The 19,850-nt window shown below is 37.5% G+C and overlaps 1 protein-coding gene across 1 annotated transcript in view; it reads left to right on the forward strand.

Moving 5' to 3' along the window:
- Window positions 1–17,346, forward strand: part of NDUFAF2 (NADH:ubiquinone oxidoreductase complex assembly factor 2) — a 207,822-nt gene extending 190,476 nt beyond the window's left edge. The window contains exon 4 of the mRNA NM_174889.5: window positions 17,024–17,346. Coding sequence (NP_777549.1) covers window positions 17,024–17,275 — 252 coding nt within the window. The 3' untranslated portion in view covers window positions 17,276–17,346. The remainder of the gene's footprint in view (window positions 1–17,023) is intronic.

Here is a 19,850-nt window from a genome sequence, read left to right on the forward strand (position 1 = left end):
TGAGAACCACTGCTCTGGATATAATTGCCAGTTTACATGAAATACAAGGGTAAAGAAACATGTTAGATGATACCACCAAGGCTGTAATTAGCCAGAATCACGTGGGCAAGGCTACAGAATTAATGACCTTTACTAATAAATCAGTAGGATTGGGGTGGATTGTGTATTTTTAGCTGCTGGCCTTCTCAAACTAAGTGGATATAGGAGCTTGAGGGTCTCACCATTTGGAATGCAGATTTTTACTTAGCCATCTTCCACTATCCCCATTTACAGTGTGGCACTTCAACCTAGCCCTCTTCTTGGTCCCTACATCTAAGCCTGTCTTTATATATATATATATATATATATATATATATATATATCTAGGGTGGATTGCTTTTTTTCTCACCAGTATCCCTGTTTGCAAACATTTAGGATTGTTCCTTTTCTACTCTGCTGAATTATTTGTTGTTCTATTTATTTCCATCTTTTTATGTTGTCATTTGCTATTTTAGATGACACTCTGTTTATCAAAAAAGGGCTTTGAGTTTTTCTAATCTTGGTATCTCTTTTATTTAAGGGGTAGGTTTTCAAAAGGAGTAGGGGAAATTTTGGGACTCTTGAACTGGAAAGTCTGTTTCCCAATTTGATTTGACCATACAACTTTTTGGCATGTCAAGCACCTTTTAATTTCCTGGAAAGCTAGTGTGATCTATGGAAGACTTATTTGGGAAGTGTTTCCTCTCTCTCCAGTACAGTCTGCATCTGCCTCCATAACCTCCTTCAAACTTCTCTCTCAAGGTCACCAAATACCTCTTTAATGCTAAGTCCGTTGAATATGTCTCAATTCTAACCCCACCTGCATTTCATAGAGTTAACTGCCTCCCGTCTTGAATTTCCTTCCCCTTGTGGCTTCTTTACTTAATTTTGTGTTCCCTTCAAACCAGGATCTGAGACAAGGATTTGGATACAAGTAACTTATTTGCAAGGCCACTTCTAAAAGCATTAGAGTTGAACAGTAAGAAAGGGAAAAAAAGAAAGTCACTAAAAGGTGCCTTAATAAGCTGGTTAAATGCTGTGGGCAAACGAGCTCAGTTTTGCCAGCAGCCCTCTGAGAGACTGCGGAACACATCACAGAGTTGTTCCATTGAAGAGCAAGGAAGCTGGGGTATTTATCCACCAATTTCTCACTAAGGCTCACTCCTGGGGAGTGTTAATAACTCCCTGGTATTTTCATCCTGCCCATTATATAAGGTGAATATGGTCCTCAGACCAAGAACTGCAGAAGTTTGAAGTAAGAAACAAGCTTCATCTAAATAAGCTATTTAGAAAGCTACAGAGTAAGCTGAGAGAATATGGATGAGGCATCAATATTTACTACTTTTACCAATGCCGTTTTTATTATCCCCTCACTTTCTAGACCATTCTTTCTCAACATGTTGTTGGTTCCTGTTTTTCCCTTACCTCTTAAATTTTGGTGGTCCACATGAAGTATCTGTTCTTGACCTTTGGCTCTTCTTCTCTACTATTTCTCTGGACAATCTCATCCTTGTCTTGGCTTCAGCCACTACATATACTTCCAGATTTCCAGCACTGGCCTCTCTCTTGAGCTAGACCCATGGAGTCATTTATTCATTCAACAAATTATTTTTCAACACTTACATAATATGCTAAACTTGATGCCTGGAATGTTAACAGTGAACTATACATATTCCTGGCCCTTGGAGTTTATATTCTAGTCAAGCCATATAAACAAATACATAAATAATAAGGATTATGAGATATGATAAGTGCTACAAAGTAAACTGGGTGTTGTTCTTATGTCTGGTTGGAAAGATCACTTTACATAGATTAGCCAGGGAAGTTCTCTTTAAGTTATTGGTCTTCCCTGAAGTATGAGATTTAGCTAGCCATGTGAAGAACTGAAAGAAAAAGACTTTCCAGCAGAGAGCTAAAAGAGGCCAAGTGAAATACAGTGTGTTTAAAGAACAAAGAAGCTAGTGAGGTTGAAGTATAATAACCAAAGCAGAAAATGACATGAAATGAGATTGGAGAGGTCGGCAGCAATTGGGTCATTTGGAGCCTTGTTGTGTTCTTCAGAAGCAGACATTGAGATAAAAGGTATTTATTAGGCATCCTTATGAAAGGAAGAGGAAGAAAATAGGAATGGACAGAGGACAAAGTCGAAATGTGATGTAGGCCCAACAAAGCTTCAGCCAATTTAGTAGGAAGCTCTGGAGCAAGTATTGCCCATCAGAGTCTTTGTACATCTGGTTGAAATAGCTGGGCCTTTATGGCCCTGCCTGCCTGCCTTATTCAGTTACTGGATGTGGGCTGCTCTGGAAAACCATTAGAAAGGTGGCTACAAGCTGTGGCACATGCTAAAATTGTTGACAGCTGCAGACTGTCTGCTCACAGCATTCACTGCAGCTGGGAAGCAAGTCCTTCCTTGAAGAAGGGCTTATCCAAATATCTCCATATTTGCCACAGGCAAGTTTGGATTTTGTTGCAAGGACCCATTTAAAGGGTTGTTAGTGAGAAGTGGCATGAAAGGTCACTCTGATTTCTATGTGGACATTAGATCATAGAGGACCAAGGAGACTTATTAGGAGTCCAAGCAAGAAATGCTATTGGCCATAGAGATAAAGAGAAATGCACAATTCAAGATAAATTTTGAAGGAAGAATTGATAAAATTTAGTGCTAGGTAAATGTAGGAGGTAAAGAAAAATAGGAATCATTTAAGTAAATGTATACAGTTGCGTAAGGGAAGGTGATTTAGCTGCTGCTGGCTAAAGTGCTTCTTCCCACCATGAGGACATCCCAGTAACAGCCTCCTCCCCCCCAGATCGTGCCCACTGGTGTGCATTTGATATGTCACAGAGACTACTTTGAGAGTATAGTAATTAACTTTTAGGACTTCCGGTTAGCTGGAAGGCTCCTCTCTATGTTCATGAAGTAGGGTGTTGCCTTGGAGCTTGCTTTTATCTTAGCATGTGAGGAAAGGGAGACCAGGCCCTATTGAAACAAGGCAAACCTTCTAGGGGTCAGGGAAACACTGTAGTCAGGCAGCAGGATACCTGTATGCAAAGCCATGTGTGTGGCTTGCTGAGAACTGTGCAAAGAGTAATAAGTAGTAGAAGGAAAATATGGTGGAGGCAGAAACTTGTTTCAAGTGTAGTCTAATTGTATGGCCTTAAGTTAGCCCTCTGAGCCTAAGGCATCTTTGGACATATTTAATTTAACATGTTTGTTAGACATCCACCTCCACCCAGATAGTTGGCTATATTATTCTGGAGCTTGGGGAGCAGTCAGGCTTGAAATGAATTTGAGCTTCTTCAGCATATGTAGACAATATTTAAACTTGGGATAAGAAATGATTACTTTGAGAGAGAATACAGATACTCCTTAACTTACCATGAGGTTATATCCCGATAAACCCATTGTTAAATCAAAAATACATTTAATACACCTAACTTACCAAATTCATAGCTTAGCCTAGTCGACCTTAAACCTGCTCAGGACACTTACATTAGCCTGCAGTTGGGCAAAATCATCTAGTAACACAGTACACTGTAGAGTGTGGATTGTCTACCCTTGTGATCAAAGTGATGACTGGGAGCTGCTGCTCAATGCCACCACCTAGCATGATGAGAAGGTATTGTATGGCATATCACTAGCCTGGGAAGAGATCAGAATTCAGAATTTGAAAATACAGTTTCAACTGAAGGCATGTCGCTTTTGCACTGTCATAAGTTGAATCATTGTAAGTCAGGGACCGTCTGTATAGTAAAAAAGAGGGCTAGAATTGAGTCCTTGAAGCATTTCAGTGTTCTGAAGTTTGGCCAAGAAGGAGCTAACAGTTTGATAAAAAGATATTTGGATATTTTACAGACAACTTAAATTTGGTATGTTTAAAGCAGAACTCTTTTTCTGTTTCCTACCATGGTTAATGGCATTATCTGTTGATAGCGACAGGAGGCAGCCAAATGCCTAGGCTAATAGGGGCGGGTCCCTGGTGAAACCCCACCTTCAAGCCAAAAACAGCCTGGAGGCTGAAAGACCAGGCTGCTGGTCCCAGATGAAACCTGCAACCCAGAGTGAGAACTTATGTTCCTGTTTGCCTGCCCTTTCCTGATTAATTTTTTTTGAATAATGCCTTTTAACAATTGAATGTTGCCTTTTCCAATACTCCCTACAGCCTGTCCCTTTCCCATTCTGAGCCCATAAAAGGCTCCTGACTCAGCCATATTAGGGGTACTTTCCCACTTTCGGATAGGGGGACCACCCCTACATCCCCTCTCCACTGAAAGCTGTTTCATCACTCAGGAAAACTCCCTGCCTTGTACACTCTTCGAATGTTAGCACATCCTCATTCTTCTTAGGTGCAGGACAAGAACTCAGGAACCAGTGTGTAAGCCAGACTTGGCCCAAGTGGGCCGAGTAGGTGGGCTGTCTCCTGCAGCAGGTAGCGTGGTCAAGCAAGGCCTGGGCAGGGCATCGCCAGCCAGAGTTCCTCAGCTTGCAAAGTGTCACTGTCATCACTGATTAGAAACAGGGATTGTCCTCATCTCCTTCACCTCTACATATTGGTGACTAAGACCTTTTTCCTATTGAATATCTTAACAATCTTTTTTTGTCTGTCTCAATACCATTGTCTTGGTTCCTGCCCTAATGATTTTCTTACTTGCATTTCTGCAGTGGCCTGCTATCCGATTTCTCTGTTCCAGTCTTGCACCTCTCCAATCTAATTTCTATAGTTGCCAGAGTCATCTTTTTTAAAATATGGGATAAACATATAAGTCTCCTGCTTATGGTTGCCAGATTTAGCAAACAAAAATACAGCATACCCAGTTAAATTTTAATTTCAGATGAACAAGGGATAATTTTACATGTATGTCCCATATAATTTTTAGGACATAAATACTAAATTATTTGATGTTTGTATGAAATTCAAATTTAACTGAGCATCCTGCATTTTATCTGGAAATCTTGCTCTTCCTTCAGAGCCCAAAAATGTTTCACCATCACTTTCAGGGTGAAACCTAAATATCCTAACACTGCATTACAAGATTCAGCATGTTCTAACCCCTGTATACCATATGAACCACTCAGTGTCCTGAATTTGCTTTGCTGCTTTACTCCTTCATACCTCTGATCACATGCTTACTTTTTCCTAGAATGCCCCTCTCTTCTTAGTTCTCTGGTTGATTCTGATTGATTGTTTAATACTGAAGTATCACCTTCTCTAACCCTCCAGTCCACTCTGGATAATAACTGGGACACCAGGGCTGGGTGTGGTGGCTCACGCCTGTAATCCCAGCACTTTGGGAGGCCAAGGCGGGCGGATCACCTGAGATAGGAGTTGGAGACCAGGCTGACCAACATGGAGAAACCCCCTCTCTACTAAAAATACAAAATTAGCCGGACGTGGTGGCACATGCCTGTAATCCCAGCTACTCTGAAGGCTGAGGCAGGAGAATCACTTGAACCTGGGAGGCGGAGGTTAAAGTGAGCCAAGATCACACCATTGCACTCCAGCCTGGGCAAAAACAGCGAAACTCCGTCTCAAAAAAAAAAAAATTAATTAATAATAATAATAATAATTGGGACACTAGCTTTTCTTCTGCATTCTCATAACATTCTTTGTTTTATATGATTGCAGAATTTATCATATTATAATTTAATTTTTTTAAACCTGCCTCTCTTCCTTAGATTGTGAGTTCTTTGAGCACAGGGTAAAAGTTGTGTCTTTTAACTCAATCCTTGGCACTTAGTGGGCTCTCAGTTAATATATGCATGAACCAATCAGTTAGTGAATGGGAAAGTAGGAAAGGACCCATAAGCATTAGCCACATAATTGGCCATTGGAGCTTACCCAGCTCTTCCCTATGGTACCTCCTTTGACCATCCTCTTTGTTCCTCAAAGATGCTTCATAAGAATAGGAACTAGGTTTTAATCTCTGTATCCCTAGGCCCTTAAATTGTAGGTGCTCAGTATATATTAAATGAATGAATGAATGAATGAATGAATGAAAAACACATGAATGAATAAGTATATCTTTCAGGGCCACAGCTCCTGTTGTCCCCTGCAACAAGTCCTAGAGGGTGCTGCCTCTGACCATATTTTTTATTCTCTAGGGCAGGCTCTATATAGCCTAAGTTGTAGCTTCTTTATGTCTTACTTCTTCTCATCCAACTCTTCTTCCCTCTCTCATCCTAGGCCAGAAGAATTCTTTTCCCCCGACAGCAGCTGGCACATAACAGCTCAATGAATGTTAGCAATCATTCACAGATGGAGCCTTTTCTTTCCTCCAGGGCTCTTGCCTTTCTGCCATTTCTTTCTCTCTCTCTGAGGCCAAGCCTGGAAAGCCATGGGGATCTGACATTGCTTTTTCTCCCAGGGATTATGGTCTTTCCTCTTCCCACACAAGGGAGCAAGGTTTTCTTTGTCTCCCACCAGGGTAGTTCAATTAAATAGGACTAGCATTAAGTGACTCTAATTATTTTTTATTAATGTTTAACTGCTAAATTTCTTTTTCAATTAAATAATTGTGTCTTTATGCTTAGAGGCCCTTTTTGCGTATATATGGGAGTTCATTTATTTTAGTAAAGGAAATACCACCTGAAAAACTGTTAATGACTTGAGCTCTGTGATTAGTTCATTTTAGTGACATTTTGAGATTTAATAATTAATCTGGCTCAGGTTCAAAGAAAGAAAACTTAATGCCAGAAATTCCTAGCCAGCAAAGAATATAAACAAACCATACAATTGTCCCCTCAAATAACAGGAATCATTGAGATAGCCTTCTTGCAATTAGAAATGTTTTGAAAAAATGCATGAGGAAGGTTCAAGAAAGCATGTCAAAACAACAAAACTCAGTGTACATTCTCATTATTGTAATTGATCAAAGGATGTTTGCAATAGATTTGAATTTGAATAAATTAAATGTGACATTGATTTGGCAGAGGCGTACTAGTGATTGGCAAGAACATGTAGCAGGAGCAGCTTCTGCTAAAGCATAACTCACTTGCCTCTTGTTTTATTCTAATAGATTTCTTAGCAACCCAGTACTATCATACTAACCTAAGCTCTGTCACTTATTTACTCTTTGGGTTTCTACTCCCATCCAGGCAAGATTAAATTTATTTTTGATTACTGATCTAGCAGGTGTTCTCTTGGGCCTAAATACAGAATACCTTTTGGTGATCTATGCACCTCCCTCTTTTTTCTTCTTTCTTTCGTAGATGAAAAAGGGTGATCTAATAACTTATTTCATCCTGGCAGTTCAACTTGTAGAACTAGAAAATGTAGTTTAATTAAACAACTTGGCAATAAAATTCGAGCTGAGACATCACTATAGCATTTGCTAGGCTTGAATTGTTTCTCAGCATGTTACAAAATTAACACTGTAAAAGAATATTCAACTCTGAACGTTTTGAAACAACAAATTCCCATTATAATTTTATAATTATATTGAGGATTGGGGGCTGTGTGGTATATTCTGGGAGGCTACTTTCTGGGCATGACTATCTAATAGTAAACAAATGTTACTGGTATGGGGTCCCAAAACATACTTCATGCCAAATTTCACTTATAATCTACATAAATCGTTTTGTAGTCTATGAAAAACATTTTAATTGACTCAAAGGCAATGTACTCATACTTTAAAAATTTTAATATTTATTAAAATAAAAATTATTCACTAGTATATATGGTTTAAATTATGGAAAGAAATTAGTGGAGCTGTCAAGGTCAAATTTATGTCTGGTAAGCAGTAAAAAATGTATGCATTTGGGTATATTTAGTAATTGAAATACTTTTACATCTTTATCTTATGTGTACTTTGAAAAGTATGTCTAGCTCCAATAGATATTAAAGATATATGTACATTTAGCTTTTGTCACAAATGTACCGCTAATGTATAATTTTAAATTATAACTTTTTATAAATCCGGTTTCTCATTTTTTATATGTAATATAACTTGAACTTCATAAATAAGCTATGGTTTTGTTCCCACAGAAGACTGAAAAAGAACCCAGTTACATGGGCCTAAGACTGACTCCTGAGCCTTAACTTGCTCTTGAAAATAGTGAACTTTCTAACAATGAAGCACTGTTGAATTTATTTTAAATTATATTTAGATTTTGTCTTGGCATGTGTTTTGAACTTCAGTTTGAACATAGTTATATATGATATACTTGGAATTCACAAGTACTTGAAGCTAAATGGAGACCATTTATAAATACTAAACTTTAGAGGAGCCTGGAGCCAGAACATTAAAGATGAAATGGCATATTTTTGTGTGTGTGTGTGTGTGTGTGTGTGTGTGTGTGTGTGTGTGTGTGTGTTCAACCTGCCTTTTTTCTACCTGGATTCATAACATTTTTAAAGCAAAGTTCTAATTCCCTAATAAAGGGCTGAGCATTAACTCTATTCCATTTCCATGTCTATCAATATAAAAATTATTCAAATACTTTTGAAGTCTATTATTATGGAATTTTATGCTTACCATGAATATTACACCATCAGCATCATATATATGTACATATAAGGTATTACTGAAACACTCCTTCATAGAAGAATTCTCAGTTGACTAGGTTTGAGCCTTTTAAGGAGAAAAATTGGGCTAAGGGATTGAAATCTTGAATGATGGTTTGAAAACAGTTATTCATTTTTATTTATACACACATTACACACAACATAAAAAATACTAGTGACATTTTACATATCTTAAATTAATAAAAATGGGTAATTTATAATTTGCATAATTTGTATTTACCTTTTCTTGTTAAGTATATGTATAATAACAGATAATATTCCTAAAAAATATTTTGTATATATACTTAGATCTGCATCTAAATATTTGATTCCATTTAATAGTATAGACTGAGGAATGTTCACTCCCACACCTCTGGTCTGAGTGTGGCTCCAGAGAAGCAGAATGGTGGATACCTGAGGTTGAAAACTCTTTGGGTAACCTTTGAACCTATTCAGATATCTCTCAGCCCTTCCCTTTCCCCAATACTCATCAAGTAATCTAAACTTATCTTCCAGTCATGATAACTTCATCAGAGAGCACTGGTCATCAGCTCTTAGCCTTCCCTCAGATATTAGAGTGCATTTCCAAAGCCCAGGTTTAAATAGCTTTAGTTTTCTTTCTCTCTCCCAACACATCATTGCAGAGACCTCTAGTATTTTTCTACCATTTGTTTTACCTCCTCTTTATAATTCAAATATCCACGCATGTTATCTAATAACTTCCATAGCAGTAAGTGTATATTAAAGCTGAATTCCTTGCCTTTATGGAAAGTTAATGTATAGTAGGATTTTGCATGAGGGACTGTATGATTGGAGCAGAATAACTACTTATTATATCATGCCTAATATCTGTGAGTGAGCTATAAGTCAGCATGTTAGTAGATTCCATATTTAAGCTTTGTTTTTTAAAAAAACAAACTTTAAATCTCTTTTGTCATTACTACACATAGCAAGTTGCAGCATTGAATGCAACAATAATACAGCTACCAAAAGGGCTCTTAACCAGGGCTCTTAGCAAAGTAACAGCATTGGAAAGGACTTGAGCCACAACCTTTTGGGGGCTTAAGTTCACATCACTGAGTAAATGAATAGTGCACTATAAATAACCATTAACTACATTACAAAAACAATGATGAGCTTGTTAAAGGCATTTAGATCTTTTCGCTTTTTCTCTTTTTTAATCTAATCCTTCACAAACAATGATAATTTATATTAAATTTTGACCAGAAAAATATATAAATTCAAACATTAAATACATGCAAGTTGAGCAGCTCAAATTCGAAATCCAGATTGCTCCAAAATCCAAAACTTTTTGAGCACTATTAAGGCATTCAAAGGATTTGGGGATACTTAACTGGTAAGTAAAAAGCAAATATTCCAAGATCCAAAAAATTCCAAAATCCCAAACACTTCTGTTCCTAAGCATTTCAGATAAGGGATACTTACCCTATAACAACATAAACAACTCAAGCCTAAACTAATTTGCTCCAGCTGAACACCCCTGAAATGAGAGAGATGCTCACAGAACATTGGTCATTCATAACATATACATTTAAGGAAAGTTTTGACACACCGATTTTGATACAGCTCATGCCTTTTTTTAATTTGTCAGTATGGTTTCTTTCTCTTCTTCCCTGAGATTGGTGGAGAATGATATTCTTCAATATTTCACTCCAGGAGACTCTTTAAATGACCCTTTTAGAAGGGGTTGACCTCATGCATGACTCTCAATTGTCAACTCCATGAGGTTCTGCTTCAGGTGGACAAGAAGGCCATTGTTGATACACTGCTCTATATCCCTAGTCAGGGGAGCCAAGACAGTGGTATAAAACATGGAAGCTTTGGTGACTAGAGACTTTTTGTTGATGGGAATAAGGAGGTAATAAGGCAGAGTGTTGCTAATTTGAGGGCTGCACGTGGTAACAACAGCCCTTTTGTCTCAGGCTGTGCGTCTCCTGAACCAGGTTCACAAAGCTTGAGAAGTTTGCTTGGCAGTATAGTCATCACTGGCCTCAAAATCCGTATTGGTATTTTCAATGGACAGTGTAACAATGCTTCTCATGTGCTCAGGGAACTTAGATTTGGTGGACGTAGAGTTTTAGGGTATCCAGCACCTGGCAGAGTGTCCAAACCTCTGGTGTTTTTCCTCTGCAATGAAGTCCTTCATTCTGATCATTTCCAGTGCTATTTATTCTACAAGGTTTCCATCTTGTATCATTTTCCTTCAGTTGAAGTATGTCCTTTAATTTTTCTTATAGTAGATATTTGTGACAAATTCAGCTTTTGTCTGAAAATGTTCTTATAATACCTTCATTTTTAAGATGTTTTCACTGGATATAGGATTCTAAGTTGTTTCTGATGAGAACTCAGTGTTATTTCTTATCTTTGTCTTTTGTATAAGTGTCTTTTTTCCTGTGTCTAGTTTTAAGATTTTATCATTAGTATTTAGCAATTTGATTTGGATGTGCCTTGGTTTTATGATTATCCTGCTTGGGGTTGTTGAGCTTCTTAGATCTGTGAATTTATATTTAGTCATTATTTTCTCTTCTCCTTCCATGACCACATGTATATCAGACTGCATAGTATTGTCCAATAGCTCACTGAGGCTCTGTTCATTTTTTAGCCCTTTTTTAAAACTCTCTCTTGCTTCAGTTTATGTATTTTCCATTGTCTTATATTCAGATTCACTGTTCTTCTACAAAGAAGCACTCAATTTTTTTATTTCATAGGTTGTTTTTCACCTTGAAGTTATATTTGGTTCTTTATAACAGTTCCCATTTCTTTCCTCATGTTGATTTTTTTTCTTTAATTCTTTAGACATTTTTATAGTAATTGTGATAAAGTCCTTGTCTGTTGATTTCATCATTTCTATCATGTGTAGGTCTACTTCTGTTGACTGGTTTTTAGTCATCCTTTCGTCTTCACCTCTTGATTACATGATGAACATTGAAATATTATGTTTAGTATCTCAGTTGTGTTGTCTTCCTTTAAAAAATACTGAGTTTTGTTCTGGAGGGCCATTAATTGACATGTGAACCAGCCCAAACTTTTGGAAGCTTTTTTTTTTGAGACAGGGTCTCACTCTGTTGCCCAGGCTGGAGTGCAGTGGTGTGATCTTGGCTCACTGCAGCTTTGACCTCCTGGGCTCAAGTGATCCTCCCACTTCAGCCTCCCGAGTAGCTGGGACCACAGCTGCATGCCACCAGGCCTGGCTAATTTTTGTATTTTTTTTTCTTTCTTTTTTTTTTTTTTTTTGTAGCAACAGGGTTTCACCATGTTGTCCAGGCTGGTCATGAACTCCTGGACTCAAGAAATCCACCCACCTCAGCCTCCCAACGTGCTAGGATTACAGGCGTGAGCCACCACGTACGGCTAGAATCTTACTTTTAAGTTTTGTTAGAGTAGATCTAGAGCAGTGCAGTCCAATCCAAATTTTTGCAATGATGGAAATGTTTTATAACTGTACTTTCCAATATAGTGGCCATTAGTCATATTTGGCTATGAAATACTTGAAATGTGGCTAGTATAATTCAGTAACTGAATTTTTTATTTAATTTAAATGGTATGTGGCTAGTGCCTACTGTATTGTACAGCATAGGTCTCCAATAAGCTGTACTCTCGTGCCAGTTTAGTCCTACACCTAAGGAGTGACCCTTCCGGGATCTTTACAATGTCTCAGGTGTTCAACGAGCTCTCCCTGGCTGGTTAGAACTTGACTTTTTCCTAGTCCAGTGCAAGCTCCAGCAATTTTCAGCCTATAGTTCCCCAGTATTCTTTAGTGAGAAGTTGTCCTTCCTGCTTTATGGAGTTTCACCGCGCACATGGACAGCTTAATATTCAGCTGAACACTCAAGTGGGTTACTATGCAGATTTCTAAAACTTACTCTGTGTATTCTGGTACTCCGCCTAACATATCCCAGCATATTCCAGCTTTCTCAGGCTCCCTAAACAACCATCTCTATCTCTCCATAAACCACCATCCTCTGGTTGGGTTCCCCCACCCTGTGTAGCAACCAGTAATGTGTCTCCAGCCAGAAAGCTGGGATGATATAGGGTTTATCTAATTTGTTACTCATTGATGCCCTTCAGGGATCACACTACTGTGCTGCCTATTGTCCAGTATCTGAAAAATGTATTTTTGTCCAGTTTTCTAGTGGTGCCATGGCAGGAGGACTAGCCTGGTACCAGTTATTCCATCTTTTGTCTGAAACTAGTAGATTACCTCTTACTAACATCTCTACCCATTTCAGAGAGAGATGTGTACAAGTTTGCTATGTTTATTTTTTAATAGAATGAAATCACTATTTTAAGATATATTTGTACCTTCTGTTGTACTATCACTGCCCAGTAGCCAGTTCTTTCCCAACCTTTACAACAGCCCATTGAAGAAGACAACATTATCTCCATTTCACACAACATGAAAGTGAGACACAGGGAAGTTAAATAATATTCATAGAGTCACACAGCTGGTAAATGGTAAAACTGGGATTTGTATTCAGTGGTCTGGCTTCAGAGCCCAAATTCTATGCCACTATTGAGAAACATTCAGTGAATAACAATGTGAAGAGTATACATATGAGTAATTTGAGGTATAAATATTTATACTTACATAGTCACATATAAACAAGATTCAATTTTTAAATCAATAATGTTTGGCTTACATTAGAATATGGAAAAATCTGTAATCTGCATAAACTTTTCAATCTTTAAGGGAACTCTAGAGGTTACTTAAGGGGAACAAAAGGAAGATACTTCCATTTGGTATTGTTGGTTTATTCATTTATTTTTTGAGACAGAGTCTTGCTCTGTCACCCAGGCTGGAGTGCAGTGGCGTGATCTCAGCTCACTGCAACCTCCACCTCCCAGGTTCAAGCGATTCTCATGCCTCAGCCTCCAGAGTAGCTGGGATTACAGGAGTACACCACCACACCTGGCTAATTTGTGTATTTTTAGTAGAGACAGGGTTTTGCCATGTTGGCCAGGCTGGTATCAAACTCCTGACCTCAAGTGATCTGCCCGCTTTGACCTCCCAGAGCGCTGGGATTACAGTCGTGAGCCACCACACTGGCCCATTTGGCATTGTTTTATAAAAGCTTACTCACCTTGTAATACATAACTATCTTAGGAAACATAATACTGTTATGAGTATAAGCCCCATTTTCAGATAAACTGAGACTAAAAAAGTTAAGTAGCTTTCTTGGTGTCACACGGCTAGCAAATGGTAGATTTGGGATTGGAACCCTGTCTGAGTCAAAGAATTACCCATGTGGATTGTCACCACAGTGTTATTTTTTTTAATGAAGAAGTGAAATATTGGAAGCAACAGTAGAGGTAGTTGTTAAGTAAATCATGGTACAATACTAGTGATAAAATAACATTCAGCCATCTTTTTTTTAAATGTTAAAGAAAAATATTTATTGGCAACAAGATAAATAAGTAAAATGATGAATATTTGTTTTTAAAATACAAACATTTATGTGAAGAAAGATGCCCGTTCCTGCTTTATCCTTACACAAACACTGAAACATACTGTTATTTGATAAACGTATGGAGATATAGGGTGATATTGTTCCAAGGAATTGGAAGGAAAAATACTTGCTTTTTGGTAGTTTGTATTTGCAAATAGACTTTCTTAAAAGTCCTTAAGGTCTACAATTCCTATCCTGTTTTCTCCACCTAACTACTTTCTTATCAATTCCAAATATTTTCATTGTTGTTGTTTGGGGGTTTTTTTGTTTTGTTTTATTTGAGATGGAGTCTTGCTCTGTCACCTAGGTTGGAGTGCCGTGGTACAATCTCAGCTCACTGCAACCTCCACCTCCCAGGTTCAAGTGATTCTCCTGCCTCTCAGCCTCCCGAGTAGCTGGGACTACAGGCATGTGCCACAATGCACAGCTAATTTTTGTATTTTTAGTAGAGACAGGGTTTTCCCATGTTGGCCAGGCTGGTGTTGAACTCTTGGCCTCAAGTGATCTGCCCGCCTCGGCCTCCCAAAGTGCTAGGATTACAGGCATGAGCCACAGAACCTGGCCCTTCAATTCCAAATATTTACAAGACCGTATTTCCTTTCATAAATGATTTATGTTCTGTTTAATTTTGCCTGGTACCAGTTATGTTTTTGGTACCAGTTTTGTTTTTTCAGAAAAACAAAAGGAAATTCTTTTTTAGGAAAAACTATAGTCTCCATATTTTTTAACTCTGAAATCTTTAACCATCTTCATATATAAAAATAATTAATATATTCAGATTGGCTTTTCTTTTGCCTCAATAGCTATTATAAGAAAGTCTTAGAAGAGTAATGTTGAATAAAGAGAAATTATGTGAAGGCAGGAGAAACAAGAACAGATCTTTGCCCTCCATTTTCTTTTCATCAAAAAGCATATGCATGTACCAACTGTAAGACTGCAACTATAGAGGTGACATAAATAAAGTAGGCAGGGGCACAGCTTCAGGTGACATGACTGATCTATTATACAAAATCCAAGCAAGCTCCATACCAATTTCTGAGTATCCTCTTGCTGCTTGAGGTCGGTTACTAGTGGAAGTTTAACCTGGTCCTGAACTTTTCATTCCGCTCCAAAGAACGAACTTCCATTAAGACACAGGGACTTGAATTTTTGTCTACTTCCACTATTTCCAGTATGATATTGAGGAATTTCCTTTGTGATACATCATCACCTTATATAAGAATTCTAGAGGGTATAGGAAGAAGAAAACCTGATTTCTCTACTCTCACCCTCACTTGGAGCAACCATACAGAACTCGCTTACTGTGGTGATTAAACTACTCATGGGGAATTGCTATGTGTTGTGAAAATTACAAGAATATTTATAAATATTGTTCTTTCCTGCACATATTTGCTTTGAGGGAGAAGTTTCATTAGATGGGCCCTTCTTCACATCTAAAACTAAGTCTTAACACTAAAACCACAAAAACTTTTCCCCCTTTAAGTACAAACTATTATTTTAAATGTTACTTTAATATCAGAGCTTACCTTTTTAAAGGACTATACAATCAATATTACTTGAAATTCACTTGAGAAACAGAAAGGTGATATCATACATTTAGATATCCAGATGTTGCCCTTTAAGTGACATTTTTTGAAAGTTTTGAAATTTTAAAAATACTTGACAGAACTTTTTTTTTTTTGGTCAGTGTTGTCAGATATTAGTTACATTAACATTCTAATTTCACATTACAAATAACATATTCTTAAAAATTAGATAATACAGGTAAGCAAAAAGAACATTAAAAAATTTCACACATTTAGAAATGCATTGTAAAATCAGAAGGAATGGACCAGGCGTGGTGGCTCATGCCTGTAATCCCAGCACTTTGGGAGGCTGAGGCGGGCAGATCACCTGAGGTCAGGAGTTCGAGACCAGCCTGACCAACATGGAGAAACCCCGTTTCTACTAAAAATACAAAATTAGCTGGGTGTGGTGGCACATGCCTGTAATCCCAGCTACTCGGGAGGCTGAGGCAGGAGAATCACTTGAACCTGGAAGGTGGAGATTGCGGTGAGCCGAGGTTGCGGTAAGCCGAGATCACACCATTGTACTCCAGCCTGGGCAACAAGAGCAAAACTCCGTCTCAAAAAAACAAAAAAAAACCAAAACAAACAACAACAACAACAAAACACAGAAGGAATGAATAAAGACCAAAGATGTAATTACTGTATTGCATTTATTTTTAAGATACGTATCTTTTCAAATATTAATATCTCTGAAACTATGTGTGGAATTTGCCTTTCTTAATGCTATAGTGATGCTTCTTAAATGTGATGGTCTTTTATTCAAGGAAATACAGTAACAAAGGATTGATTGTAATTTTGGGTATAGATCCTCCTAGATAGAATTCTGAGGAACAGAACTGCATTGTACAATCTGTTTGCACAGATTTGAGAAAGTATTTCCAATAGCAAAGAACCTCTCTGCAACAGTGTCTAGGGCATGCCAAACCCTGATTCCATTCCTATCCTCCTCCTTTCCTGCCATACCACTCCAGAAGAGAAAGGGAAATATTAATAGATGAGGCTTGGTTCTGGTACTACAGAGGGTGACGTTAGCATTCACACATCTGAATGGCAAAGAAAAAAAAAAAAGGGTAGTCAGAGCACTTCTTTCTCACCAGTGGAAAAGTACAGTCACTGAGTTTTAGGGCAGAAATCAGTGTTAAGCTTAGGAAATCTTTCATAGAGTGTCTCAGGCTTCTGTGTAATATTTCACATTTGTTTGTTTCATTTTTTGAGTAGTAAATATTTCTACTGTGGGGTGCTTCATGTCTATTATAGCATAAAATCAGGACAGAACTGTTTATGTAACATTAGTATGTAATCATACAGCTTTTTCAAACTTATATACATATCTGTATATTATTTAAATGCAAAGTATGTATGTATATATTTATATGTATATAATGTATTTTATTTTTATTGGCTATTTTTATAAAAACTTTTTTTAACTAGAAATTTAATAATTTCTTCCATTTATATATACATGCAGGAAATACTAAAGAATGAAAAACACAGAGAAGAAATCAAAATAAAAAGCCAAGATTTTTATGAAAAAGAAAAACTCCTTAGTAAAGAGACCAGTGAGGAACTCCTGCCTCCACCAGTTCAAACTCAAATTAAAGGCCATGCCTCTGCTCCATACTTTGGAAAGGAAGAACCCTCAGTGGCTCCCAGCAGCACTGGTAAAACCTTTCAGCCAGGATCCTGGATGCCACGAGATGGCAAGAGCCACAATCAATGAATGCATTATGGTCAAATCTTTTCATGTATATGGATGTGACTATTTTAACAAATAAAAGAAGTGAAAAGTTATTTACCTTGTATTTTCTGAATGTACAATAGTTTCCTATTCTATTAATCTTGAGTTCATTTTTAGTATGCACAAGAAATGTGAGATTATGTACTGTAGAAACCTAACTTCTTTTAGACTTAAATCCTTCATTTGACTTAGTCATTGTTATTTATGAATTTGCTTAGATTTGTTTTTCCCTCTTTGGATTACTCCCTTGAGAAGGATCCTGTAGCTGTGAATGCTTAGTACATTTTGGATCTTTATGATCATTTGGGAACCACTCATAGATAGAACTGGGTACAAATAATGAGGGTAAATATTTTTCCCTCTTTGGATTACTCCCTTGAGAAGGATCCTGTAGCTGTGAATGCTTAGTACATTTTGGATCTCTATGATCATTTGGGAACCACTCATAGATAGAACTGGGTACAAATAATGAGGGTAAAATAGTGAGCTCTCCCAACTGATCAAATATAGGAGAAAAAAGAATGAAGATTCTTATTTCTGGAGAGGTGACCTGTAAGATTCTAAAAGACTAATCAAAAATGTGAACTTGGATAAAACATGTAGAGGCAAAGAAAACTTAGTTGATAAGTGAAAAAAACCACTAAGACCTTGATGAGAGGATGGGACAAAAGCTAGCTTATGGTGGGACTCTGGTTGGAATTTGAAGAGAGGAATTAGGACCAATAGAAGTATACAATCCATAACAAAGTCTGAAAGGACAGTAGAGAAAGAAATAATGCAATAACTGGAGTTCCATGAGAACGAAAATTACTTTGAAAAAATAGAAAATTGGGGAAAGCTCTCAAAAAGCAGAAATTAATTTCACTAGAAGACAGAAGACAATGTACATGTTAAAACATTACATACAAAAGTACATTAAAGGGCCACACATTTTCTGGAGTGTACAACCAAGTTTTTGTTGTTATTCTAAAAGTTTTTCTCACAATGTTTGGCATACAATAGATGCTCAATATTTGCTGAACGAATGACCCAAATGTGTGTGTGTGTGTGTGTGTGTGTGTGTGTGTGTGTGTGATTACAAATGCTTTTCTTTTGTATTTTTTTATTATTATACTTTAAGTTCTAGGGTACATGTGCACAACATGCAGGTTTGTTACATAGGTATACATGTGCCATGTTGGTTTGCTGCACCCATCAACTCATCATTTACATTAGGTATTTCTCCTAATGCTATCCCTCCTCTAGACCCCCACCCCGCAACAGGCCCCAGTGTGTGATGTTGCCCTCCCTGTGTCCATGTGTTCTCATTGTTCAGCTCCCACTAATCAGAGAGAACACGTGTTGTTTGGTTTTCTGTCTTTGTGATATTTTGCTGAGACTGATGGTTTCCAGCTTCATCCACGTCCCTGCAAAGGACATGAACTCATCCTGTTTTATGGCTGCATAGTATTCCATGGTGTATATGTGCCACATTTTCTTGATCCAGTCTATCATTGATGGACATTTGGGTTGGTTCCAAGTCTTTGTTATTGTGAATAGTGCTGCAATAAACATACGTGTCCATGTGTCTTTATAGTAGCATGATTTATAATCCTTGGGTATATACCCAGTAATGGGATTGCTGAGTCAAATGGTATTTCTAGTTCTAGATCCTTGAGGAATCGTCATACTGTCTTCCACAATGGTTGAACTAATTTACACTCCCACCAACGGTGTAAAACTGTTCTATTTCTCCACATCCTCTCCAGTATCTGTTGTTTCCTGACTTTTTAATGATCACCGTTCTAACTGGCATGAGATGGTATCTCATTGTGGTTTTGATTTGCATTTCTCTGATGACCAGTGATGATGAGCATTTTTTCATGTGTCTGTTGGCTGCATAAATGTCTTCTTTTGAGAAGTGTCTGTTCATATCCTTTGCCCACTTTTTGATGGGGTTGTTTTTTTTCTTGTAAATTTGTTTAAGTTCTTTGTAGACTCTGGATATTAGCCCTTTGTCAGATGGGTAGATTGCAAAATTTTTCTCCCATTCTGTAGATTGCCTGTTCACTCTGATGATAGTTTCTTTTGCTGTGCAGAAGCTCTTTAGTTTAATTAGATCCCATTTGTCAATTTTGGCTTTTGTTGCCATTGCTTTTGGTGTTTTAGTCATGAAGTCATTACCCATGCCTATGTCCTGAATAGTACTGCCTAGGTTTTCTTCTAGGGTTTTTATGGTTTTAGGTCTAACATTTAAGTCTTTAATTTATCTTGAGTTAATTTTTGTATAACGTGTAAGGAAGGGATCCAGTTTCAGCTTTCTACATATGGCTAGCCAGTTTTCCCAGCACTATTTGTTAAATAGGGAATCCTTTCCCCATGTCTTGTTTTTGTCAGGTTTGTCAAAGATCAGATGGTTGTAGATGTGTGGTGTTATTTCTGAGGCTCTGTTCTGTTCCATTGGTCTATATATCTGTTTTGTTACCAGTACCATGCGTTTTGGTTACTGTAGCCTTATAGTTTAAAGTCAGGTGGCGTGATACCTCCTGCTTTATTCTTTTGGCTTAGGATTGTTTTG

Source organism: Homo sapiens, chromosome 5 (genome assembly GCF_000001405.40).
Source record: "Homo sapiens chromosome 5, GRCh38.p14 Primary Assembly".
In the NCBI taxonomy this organism is placed as follows: domain Eukaryota; kingdom Metazoa; phylum Chordata; class Mammalia; order Primates; family Hominidae; genus Homo; species Homo sapiens.